This window comes from Homo sapiens, chromosome X (assembly GCF_000001405.40).
Source record: "Homo sapiens chromosome X, GRCh38.p14 Primary Assembly".
Classification (NCBI taxonomy): domain Eukaryota; kingdom Metazoa; phylum Chordata; class Mammalia; order Primates; family Hominidae; genus Homo; species Homo sapiens.
In genome coordinates, this window is record NC_000023.11 from 73852846 (window position 1) to 73864697 (window position 11852).

The following is an 11852-nucleotide window of genomic DNA, read 5'->3' on the forward strand; positions in this document are numbered from 1 at the left end:
TAAGGACAAAAAAGGGAAATTTCAAGAAAGCAAAGACATACCAGAAAGAACATTAACTGGAAGTAGACTTCATTTCTAGACCAGGAGTCACAACTTCAATGGGTTTTCCAGTTCTCATCTATAACATGGGGACATTGAGTAAATCAAGCAATAATTAATGCTAAAATCCTCCATAAACTGCATAATAAATGTAAAGATGTTAATTCAGCTTGGTTTTGAGAATGGGGGAAGGGATAGGTAGAGCTTTGATGTGTTGATAAAGTATCCAAATATATCATTCAAACCAGAATTTGTAACTCCTCCACCAAACTTTTGAACCAAAGAAGCTAGAAAGGAGTAATACATTGAGGTTAGTACCATCTTCAAGGGACTTCCCATTCCATTATCCCATGTAATAGATAATGGAATATGTATTGCATAGATAATAATAAAGGATTATTCCTGTTTTATACATTAAAATAGAGTCCTATAGAGGTTACATCATGTGCCCGAGGTCACACACCATGATTCAGAGTCAATGTAGTTTTTACTCCAACACTCTACCTTGTATGGCTCCCAACCATAAGAGAACGGAAGTGCTTACGAGTCAATTGGTGAGCAAGAGAGAAAAAGGAAAGAAAGACATTTCATAGAATGGCTATTTGGTTCCTAAATAATCAAGAAAGAGTACTGTTTGTGACCTGTTTGTAATTTTTTAACTATGACTCCTTAATCTTTACTATTTTCCTATTTCCTCCATGAATCTGAGGAACCCAACATTGGACCAACCATATGACACAGTAGTGAAGTTGACCCTCTGTCAGTAACTGATAAGTGGTAGGAAGAAAAAGCTCATATAAAAGCCAAAGCTGCCCTCAGAAACCTGGCTATTTCAGTAGGAAGCAATTAATCTCATAAACTCTTCTATGTCATTCGAGAAACAACAGAGAACCAGAAGGGAGACAATGGCAACTTAAGTATTATAGAGCAACTTCTAGAAAGTCAAAGGATACATTACCCTCCCACTGGCTGAACTGGAAAGTGTAACTATCGACCCAAATCTATCAGGTAAGCTTGCTCTTCAGTTTCCAGAAAAATAATAAAGTATGCAAATTTTCTTCCTTAAGAAATACCTTCCATCTTCTAAGTGTCCTTGGATCAAACAAAAAAAGTAATCTGACTTGTCATTCCAAATGAGGGTTATTGTATTGTAAAGTGGTGCAATACAATGGTACCTTTGAGAAAACAATGCTTAACAAAGAGAGAAACTACCTACAGTGACACCTATGAAGCAGCTATCAGAAAGACTGGATTACCAAACCTCTAATACAACTTTATCTACTAGAAGTTTCTACAAGTGTGGAAATGTTCTATACTTTTAAGAAATTTGGTTGGCCGGGCGCGGTGGCTCATGCTTGTAATCCCAGCACTTTGGGAGGCCGAGGTGGCTGGATCACCTGAGGTGAGGAGTTTGAGACCAGCCTGGCCAACATAGCGAAACCCCGTCTCTACTATAAATACAAAAATTAGCCGGGCATGGTGGCAGGCACCTATAATCCCAGCTACTTGGGAGGCTGAGGCAGGAGAATCACTTGAATCCAGGAGGCGGAGGTTGCAGTGAACCGAGATGGTGCCACTGCACTCCAGCCCGGGCGACAGAGCAAGACTCCATCTCAAAAAAAGAAAAAAGAAATTTAGTTGGGGAAAAATTTTCTAAAGACTCAAGTAGCATCAAATATAAAAGATTGATAAATTTGACTCTGAAATTAAAACCTTTTGTTTCACAAAAATACCTTTTCAAATAAAAAGGCAAAAAGACAATTTATAAACTGGTTGTCCTGGGTTTCTGTGACCAGGCCCTGGTTCCAGGTGGGCAGCCACGCTAGCAGATCACTCTCATTGGTTGTCATTGGAGTTTTTTAAATGGTAACTCTTAAGGCTAGGCATGCAAAATGGTGCTGATGTGCCGTTATGGGGTGACACTCACATTGGACACAGGACATGTTCAGAGCTGTGGCCTACCTAAATCCACTGTTGACCCTTAGGCTAAAGAAACTGCAAAAGCAAGAAATTTATAATTTCAATACAAAGAGGTTCCAGAGTGCCATTGCAAAAATGGAAGTAGTACAGTGTTGCTATGTTTTTCTCATAGAGGGAGATGTGAAATTAGCCAGGAATGGTGCATTTGACAATAAACACAAAGAGATGATTTCTGGACCTAAAAAGGAAGATATGGTGCAAGGTCATTATAAAAATTGATATGTGAACTGTTGAATAAACAAATACGTAAGCATCTCTTCTCCACCTGGTATTCTAAATTTTCATTGATAAATCACTACACCTCACATGGGCCCATGTATTTGTAATATATTTTTAATCAAACTGTTTACATTAAAAGGAACTTCTGAAAAATATTTGCCTAGGCCTTTGCCCTAGAGCAGTCCTGCCCTCTTCTGCCATTTATCACCTTCAGGTTTTACTTACTCCCCTGCCCTCACTAGCTTTCAATTCACTTTACTTCCTCCTCTTCCCGACCTGGCCTCACCTTCACTACTGCTTGGCTCCATTTTATAAACCTGTTAGGATCAGAAGTATGGAAACTGAGACACTAGAAGGAAAAGTGACTTGCTCAAAGTCAATTAGCTAGTAAGAGTTGGGCTCTGATGGGGATATTTCAGGCATATTTTCTGTGGCCATGCCATAGCTGTGTTAGCATCCTCTTCTTTGGGCTCCCAATCACATGGCACACAATAGGAAGAAATCAGGTCCTCTTTTTAAAGATTCAGATTATTCCAGTTCTAGGATTGTCACTATGTTCATCTGTACATCCTCTCCTCTGCTAAATTAGGCCCAAAAAAAGCCGGCACTGTCGACTTAGCCACCAGATGGCAGCATAAAATCACCAAAGAAGCACTGAGCCTGTCTGCAGGAAAGGAGCCAAAGTTGTATACAGGGCAGGACCAGAATCTGATATAAAGGGGGGAAAGTCTGATTCATACAAGGTCAGTATCAGAAGAAAGGGTCAAAGAAAAGTGCTCAACCCCCTCTAATTTGAAGAGCCCCTCCCCCCACTAAACAGGAGTCTGTCCTTGGCTTCAGGGCTATGCCATTTAAAGAGGACTTTGATAAAGCCTTCAGGATCTAATTAGCAGGCTGGTGGGGGCCCTCCAAATCATCACCAGTGAAAAGCAGTTAAAGGGACCAGGACATATTATGGAAAAGAAAATAAAAGACCTGGGGAAGGGCTCTTTACAACTCAAAGGGCTGTCTGCAATGGGGGAAGTTGATGAATAGTCCTGTTGTGTGTAGTTCTAATAAATAAAGACGTCTGAATACTCTGAGCTGTCCAAAGATGGAACAGTTAACACCTCCAGAACTGGTGAATGCCAGTCTCTGAAGACCTGCAAGCCAATAGTGGATTTTGTGAGGATGCTACAGAGACAATCAACAGATAGAAAAGTTGTGCTATATGCCTTGTAAGGGTCTTCCAAATAGCCCCAAATCCTATGAACCTCATCACAGTACTTGGGCCATTCCTCTAGCCCTCAAACACACTATTTATGATATCCTTCAAAAGTGTATTAGGATGTTGGGAAAGGTTTTCTAGTTTATCAAAAGAGAACACGGGGTTATACATATTAAAGCTCAGTGAGTATATGCTTAACAATTGTATACATAGTTCACGTCAACATTAAAAATACTGTAAATGGGCTGGGTACGTTGGCTCACACCTTTAATCTCAGCACTTTAGGAGGCCAAGGCAGGAGGATCTTTTGAGGCCAGGAGTTCGAGATCAGCCTGGGCAAAATAGAGAGACCTCTGTCTCTACAAAAATAAAAAATATAAAAATTAGCCAGGCGTGGTGGTGCATACCCGTAGTTCTAGCTTCTCAGGAGGATGAAGCAGGAGGATTGATTGAGCCCAGTAGTTCAAGGATACAGTGGGCTGTGATTGCCCCACTGAACTCCAGACTGGGTGAGAAAGCAAACGCTACCTCAAAAAAAATTACAATCTATTAAAAACATCACCAGTGGCCGGGTGCGGTGGCTCATGCCTGTAATCCCAGCACTTTGGGAGGCCGAGGCAGACAGATCATGAGGTCAGGAAATCAAGACCATCCTGGTCAATATGGTGAAACCCCATCTCTACTATAAATACAAAAATAAGCTGCACATGGTGGCACACGCCTGTAATCCCAGCTACTCGGGAGGCTGAGGCAGGAGAATCGCTTGAACCCGGAAGGCGGAGGTTGCAGTGAGCTGAGACCGCGCCAAGCCTGGTGACAGAGCAAGACTCCATCTCAAAAAAAAAAAAAAAAAATCACCAGCAAACACTAGGGAGAGGGAGGAATTTTATTTCCCAAGGTATCACATTATAATATTAAAACTGTGCAGTTTTTATTAAAAAATTACAAGGCATACAAAAAACAGGAAATTATAGCTAATATATAGAAAAAAAGGTAATTAACAAAAAATGGTCCCTGAGAAAGTACCAACATTAAACTTACTAGACAAGGATTTTAATTAATTAATTAATGTGCTTATTTATTTTCTCATTTTTAGTTTTTCTAGTAGTTCTTTTTCAAATGTATTTTTAGTTCACAAATAATTGTATATATTCATGGAGTAAAATGTGGTATTTTGATATATGCATGCATTGTAGAATAATTAAATCAAGCTAATTACTATATATCTCAGCTCACATACTTATTTTGTGATGAGAATACTTAAAATTTACTTAGCAGTTTTTGAAATGTACAATACCTTATCACTATTGTCATCATGCTCTGCAATATATCTCAAAAACTTATTCCTTCTCTCTAACTAAAATTTTTATCCTTTGATCAACACATTTTTACCCTCCCTTCAGATTATTAACCACCAGTCTACTCCCTACAAGTTCAAGTTTTGAAAATTACACATACAAGTGAGATAATATAGTATTCATCTTTCTGTGCCTGGCTTAGCATAATGTCCTCCAGGTTCATATATGTTGTTGCAAATGACAGATTTTCCTTCTTTTTAAGGCTGACTAGTGTTCCATTGTGTATGTATACCACATTTTCTTTATACATTCATCTGTTGATGGGGACTTACCTTGATTTCATATCTTGACTATTGTGAATAATGCTATAATAAACATAGGAGGACAAATGTCTCTTCAACACACTGATTTCAATTTCTTTGAACAACACCCACAAGTGGGATTATTGGATCATAAGGTAGTTGTATTTTTAGTGTTTTCAGAAGCCTCCATGATGGTTGAACTAATTTATATTTCCACCAACACTGTATAAATGTTCCCTTTTCTCCACACCCTCACCAATCCTTAACTTTTGTCTTCTTGAAAATAGCCATTCTAACAGGTGTGAGGCAATATTGCATTGTGGTTTTGATTTGCATTTTTCTTTTTTTTTTCTTTCTTTCTTTTTTTTTTTTAATTTTTATTTTTTTGAGACAGAATCTCTCTCTGTCGCCAAGGCTGGAGTGCAGTGGTGTGATCACGGTTCACTGCAACCTCCACTTCTTGGGTTCAAGCAATTCTCATGCCTCAGCCTCCCAAGTAGCTTGGATTATAGGCATCTGCCACCATGCCCAGCTAATTTGTATATTTTTAATAGAGACGGGGGTTCACCATGTTGACCAGGCTGGTCTCAAACTCCTGAGCTCAGGTGATCTGCCTGCCTTGGCCTCCCACAGTGTGATCTGTAATCACACTGGGATTACAGATGTGAACCACTGCGCCTGGCCTTATTTATTTATGTTTTTAGACACAGTCTCATTCTGTTGCCCAGGCTACAGAAAGTGCAGTGGTGCCATCTCGGCTCATTGCAACCTCTGCCTCCCGGGTTCAAGTGATCCTCCTGCCTCAGCCTCCTGAGCGGGTGGGATTACAGGCACCCACCACCATGCCCAGCTAATTTTTGTATTTTTAGTAGAGAAGATGTTTCACTATATTGGGCAGGCTGGTCTTGAACTCCTGACCTCAAGTGATCCACCCGCTTTGGCCTCCCAAAGTGCTGGGATTATAGGTGTGAGCCACCACACCCAGCCTGATGTGCATTTTTGTGATGATTATTGATATTGAGCACTTTTTCATATATCTGTTTGCTATTTGGTTTTTGTTTGATTGTTTTTTGTTTGAGGCAGAGTCTCACTCTGTAGCCCAGGCCAGAGTGCAGTGGCACAATCTCGGCTCACTACAACCACTGCCTCCCGGGTTCAAGTGATTCTCCTGCCTCAGCCTCCCGAGTAGCTGGGATTACAGGCGTGTGCCACCATGCCTGGCTAATTTTTGTATTTTTAGCAGAGACGGGGTTTCACCATGCTTGCCAGGCTGGTATCGAATTCCTAACCTCAAGGGATCTGCCCACCTTGGCCTCCCAAAGTGCTGGGATTACAGATGTGAGCCACCGCACCCAGCCTGTTGGCCATTTCTAAGTCTTATTTTGAAAAATGTCTATCCAGGTCCTGTGCCCATTTTTTAATTGAGCTATTTGTTTTCTTGATATTGAGTTCTTTGAGTTCTTTCTGTATACTGGATATTAACCCCTTACTGGATGTATGGTTTACAAATATATTCTCCTATTCCAAAGGTTGTCTCCCACTCTGTTCATTGTTTCCTTGCCTATGCAGAAGCTTTTTAGTTACATGTAATCCCATTTGTCTATTTTCACTTTTATTTCCTCTGCTTTTGTGTTCATATCTAAAACATTATTGCCCACACCAATATGATAAAACTTTGGAACCATGATTACAGTGTAAGAGTATTCTGAATTTGACCATGTGTTTACTTTTACTGGTAAGTTTTATACTTTCATATCTTTTCATTTCATTCATTAATATCTTGTTCTTTCAGATTGGAAAACTTTGTTTAGCATTTCTAAGGCAGGCCTTGTTTGATGAATTCCCTCAGCTTATGTCTGGGAAAGTTTTTATTTCTCATTCAATTCTGAAAGACAGATTTGCTGATTATAGTAGTCTTAGTTGACAGATTTTTTACTTTAGCACTTAGAATATATCCTCACACTCTTTCCTGGCCCGTAAGGTTTCTGCTGAGAAATCTAATGGTAGCCATATTAAAGCTTCCTTGTATGTGATATGCTTCTTCTGCTGCTTTGAGAATTCTTTCTTAGTTTTTGAATTTTGATAGTTTGATTGTAATGTGTCTTGATGAACTCTTCTTTGGGTTGAATTTAATTGCATATTCCTGAGCTTCTTGTAATTCAATATTCTCTTTTCCCAGATGGGAACTTTTTGGCCATTATTTCTTTAAATAAGCTGTCTGCCTCTTTCTTGCACTCTTCACCATCTGTAGTTTTAGTATCCAAATAGTAGTTTTCTTGGTGGTGTCCCATAGACCTGTAGGCTTTCTTAATACTTTTTCATTTTTTTTCTTTTTCTTCTCTGACTGGATGATTTCCAATCATCTATATTTGCATTCAGTTATTTGTTATTCTGCTTGATGTAATCTGCTATTGAAGCATCTTTGGTATTTTTTACTTCAGTCATCATACTGTTCAGCTTGAAAATTTATCTGGTTCTTTTTTCAAGTTTTGAATCTCTGCTTACCTTCTTGTTTTGTTCATATTCTGTCTTCCTGATCTTTTAAAAATATTTGTTTTTTTGTAATTTGCTGAGCTTCTTTAGAACAATTATTTTGAATACTTTGTCAGGCAATTCATGTACCTCCAATTCTTCGTGGTCACACACTGGAAAGCTTCTTGTGTTTTTCTGGCAATATAATGTTTCCCTGATTCTTCCTCATCCTTGTAGTCCTGCAAAGGTGTCTGCACTTTTGAAGCAGCAGTCACCTCTTTCAGACATTATGGCCTGGCTTTGGCAAGGAAAGCCCTTTACCTAAGGAGGAAAAAGGGAGACATACTAGGTGCACTGTGGCACTGGGTCTAGACCATAGGAAACCAAATGCAGGGGCATAGTGTGGCTCTGGGTCTGGTGGTGTGGCGGCAGATAGGGGCCGAGTCTAGTCAGCTCAGGCATGCCTACAACATTGGCAACTGCATGGTCCTTTGTGTCAAGAGCTGTGGGAGTTTCGCAAAGATTATGAGGGCTGTTGGGGTCCTCAGCTATGTATATGTGACAAACAGCTAGGGTCTGGGACTGGCAGCAGTGGAGGCCAGAGCTGAAAGTGTACACATGCTCCACTGTGGAGTCTGGTTGCAGCAGCAGCCTGTTGTAGTCTCACACATGGTAGCAAGAGCTTGGGTCATATGCCGAAGCTGGGCCTGAATGTGAGCATAGATGTGGTGGTAGGTGCTGCAGGTTGCCCATGCCTGATCACAAGGGCCAGATGCATGGTGGCAACAGGGGTCAGGCTGTCTGCATGTGTGTGTTTGTGTGTGTGTGGCAACTGCAGGGCTCAACTGGAGGTGGGTAGGCATGTGCAGCATGGTGATAAATGCAGGACCCATGGGGCAGGACCAGTGGCTTATGCATGCACCACTACAGGAACCAGGGCTGGCAGCATGCAGTAGTCCTGCAGAGATCAGCCTTGAGTGTATGTGGGGTCAATTTCTGAGGTGAGGGGCTTTGGGGCTCTTTGCAGGCACAGGTGCAACAGCTGCACTGGGCCTCTGGGCCAGAGCACCCATGTAAGCAACATCAGGGGTGGCTTTGGAAAGGATGGTTGTCTTAGGCACCTGCGGTATATGAAGGCCACTGCAGTAGTACCCTGGGCTGGGACAACCACAACAGAAGCAGTTCAGGTGGCTTTGGGGAGGAGGGTGGTTGGTTAGGCACCTAAAGACTTCAAGGCTCCTGGGTTGTGTCACCAGGCTGAGGAAACTGCAGCAATAGCAATCCTGCCCTACATGGCTCCTGGGAATGGGGAGGGGAGGTAACGCCAGCACCTAAGACTATGAAGGTGAAGAAAACTGCAAGGCCTTCAGTAGCAAAAGTGGCAGGGGGGTTATTGCTGGTGTGCTGGCATTTGTTTTTCTCAGTAGTAAAAGCTGCTATGTTCCTCTGCAGGACAAGCTGCTGGGCTCCACAATTTCAAACACTGAGGAATCCTCAGCAGTTAAGGCTGTGGGGTCTACACAGCAGCTCCAGGGGCTGTTTGGGTCCTCAGTGGAGAAGTCTGCTGCTTTCCCATGTCAGGTAGGCCACTGGGGGTCACAGTAACTTCCACCTTTTGGCTGATTCTAAAAGAGCTCATCCAGGCCAGGCGCGGTGGCTCACCCCTGTAATCCCAGCACTTTGGGAGGCCGAGGCGGGTGGATCACCTGAGGTCAGGCGTTCGAGACCAGCCTGGCCAACATGGTGAAACCCTGTCTCTACCAAAAATACACAAATTAGCCAGGCATGGTGGTGGGCACCTGTAATCCCAGCTACTCAGGAGGCTGAGGCAGGAGAATCGCTTGAACCTAGGAGGTGGAGGTTGCAGTGAGCCGAGATGACGCCATTGCACTCCAGCCTAGGCGATAGACCAAGACTCCGTCTCAAAAAAAAAAAAAAAAAAAAAAAAAAACCCTCATCCCTTGTCTTTGTTCTCAGCTGTCTCCAGATATCTCAGCTATGCAGGTTACCCCCAGAGATCTGGGTGGGGTGAAACTGAAGCTAGTCATATAGGCAGTGTCCTAAAATACTGGCAAAACTGGTTCTATACCTTGCTCTGCTTTGTCTTGCAAGGCAAACTTAAGCTAGGGAGGTCCCTCTCCATGCTGAGCAGTGTCAGCATGAAGGATGCAGTGATGGAGGTGAAATGAACTTGTTCTTATTACCATTTTTGTGTGGCTCTTCTTGGGTTTTCTCTTCTACTGTATTGTTGTGTCACCTTAAGTGGATCCTAGCCTCTTCCAGAGATATTTTGGTTCATGGATAGTTGCAGAATTGTTCTTCACAGGGAGAGGAAGGCTGAATCTCCTACTCTGACATCATGCTGACCTCACTCCACTAGACAAGGAGTTTAAATTAAATATTTCAAATATGCTCAAAGACATAAAAGAAACAATAGACAAAGAACTAAAAAACACAGAGAGAATAATGTCTCAACAAACAGAAATTATACATTAGAAATAGCACTTATAAAAAGGAACCAAATAGAAATTCTGGAGCTGAAAATACAATAACTGAAACAAAAAAATTCATTCCAGGCATTCAACAGAAAATTTGAGCAGCCAATAGAAAGAAACAACTTGAATAGGTCAATTGAAATTATTCAGTCTAAGGGGCACAAATACAAATAATTAAGAGAAATGAAGAGAATGTGAGGGACCTATGGAACACCATCAAGATGCCAACACACACATTATGGAAGTTTCAGGAGGGGATAGAGTGAACTAGCATTAAAAAAAAGGGAGAAATAATGGTTAAAAAAACTTCCCAAATTTGATAAGACACATTAATCTACACATTAAAAAAACCTCAGTGAGCCAGGCCAACCCCAACAGCCCCAGGCTCCAGACCAGCTCACCACTAGGCCAGCCCCCACAGTCCCAATCTTCAGTTCTACCCCAGCAATCAGCTGTTCCCTGCAACTCTAGTCATTAGGCTGACACCCACAAACCCATCTCCAGGCCAGCCCCTGTGGTGCCAGGTTTCAGGCTTGCTCCAGCACCATGTCAGCAATGCTGGACTTAAACACCAGGCAGGCACCCACAGACACAGGCTCCAGGCCTGCCCAGCACCAGGCCAGTCCCCATGACCTCACACTCTAGCTGGACCCTGTGGCTTCATAGCTTCAGCAGACCCAGGGTCCAGGCCTGTCCCAGTAGACCCCTGTGCTGGATTTGCCACTACAGACACAAGCTTAAAGATTGCCCCAGTGTACTCAGGTCACAGGAACCCTCAAGTCATCCAAACCCAGGCCAGCCCTCACAGTCTTAGCCTCTAGGCCAGCACCTACACACCCAGCCTCCAGGCTGGGACAAGTGGACATGAGCTCTAGGCTGAGCCTGACAGCCCCGTGCTTAAGACCAGCCCCAGGATCTCCAGGCACAAAGTCAGTTCCCATAGACCTAGGCTTCAGACTAGACCCTGTGAACCCAGGCTTTACACCAGCCCTAGCACCAGGTTAGCCTAGGTTGATCCCAGTGGAAACAGGCTCCAGAAAACACAAGATCCAGGCTTGTTCCAGCAGACGCAGGGTCAAGGCCCACTGTAGTAGACGCCAATGGCGGGCTAGATCCCATGGACTGAGGCTTCAAGACTATATCTGCAGACATAGGATCCAGGCCAGGCCCTGTGGGCCCAGGACCCAGACCTGCACTATGGACTCAGGGTCCAGGCCAGCCCCAGTGCCAAGCCAGTGCTTGTGGACTCAGGCTCCAGGATCATCCCAGCACCTGCCCAGCCCCTGTAGATGTAGGTCTAAGGCCCACCCCATCAAGTGCTAGATCAGCCTCTGTGGACCAGGCTTCAGGCTTGCCTCTGGAGACACAGGTCTCAGCCTCAGACTCATGGACCCAGGCTCTGGGCTCATCAGTGCAGTCCCAATTAACAGGTTCACCCAAGTGGATGCAGGTCCAGACTCAACCCTGCAGTTTAGGAGTCAGGCCTGTCTACCTACTGACCCAGGCGTAGGCCAGCTTGTTCAAGGACTCCAGCAACAAGGTTTTCTTCAAATCACGCCTGAGAGCCTGCCAAGAATATTTGGATGAGCTGATTGGTGAAGGGCTTTCCCAGGCAAAGCATTCTATAAAAACTGAAACAAGTCCCAAATTGTTCAAATCCACAGACATCAACTTAAGGCAACAAGAAACATGAAACACCAAGGAGACATAACATCACCAAAAAAACACAATAATCTCTCAGTAGGCCGGGCACGGTGGCTCACGCCTATAATCTCAGCACTTTGGGAGGCCGAGGCTGGTGGATCACGAGGTCAGGAGTTCAAGACCAGCCTGGCCAAGA

General features: G+C 43.2%; 1 annotated feature.

Annotated features, from left to right (window-relative positions):
* Positions 10785–11432: an enhancer, noted in NCBI's record as "H3K27ac-H3K4me1 hESC enhancer chrX:73083465-73084112 (GRCh37/hg19 assembly coordinates)". NCBI's record gives its function as "activates a minimal SCP1, AML or CMV promoter by ChIP-STARR-seq in naive H9 embryonic stem cells {active_cell/tissue: H9 hESC(naive)}" and the evidence as "EXISTENCE:reporter gene assay evidence [ECO:0000049][PMID:30033119]".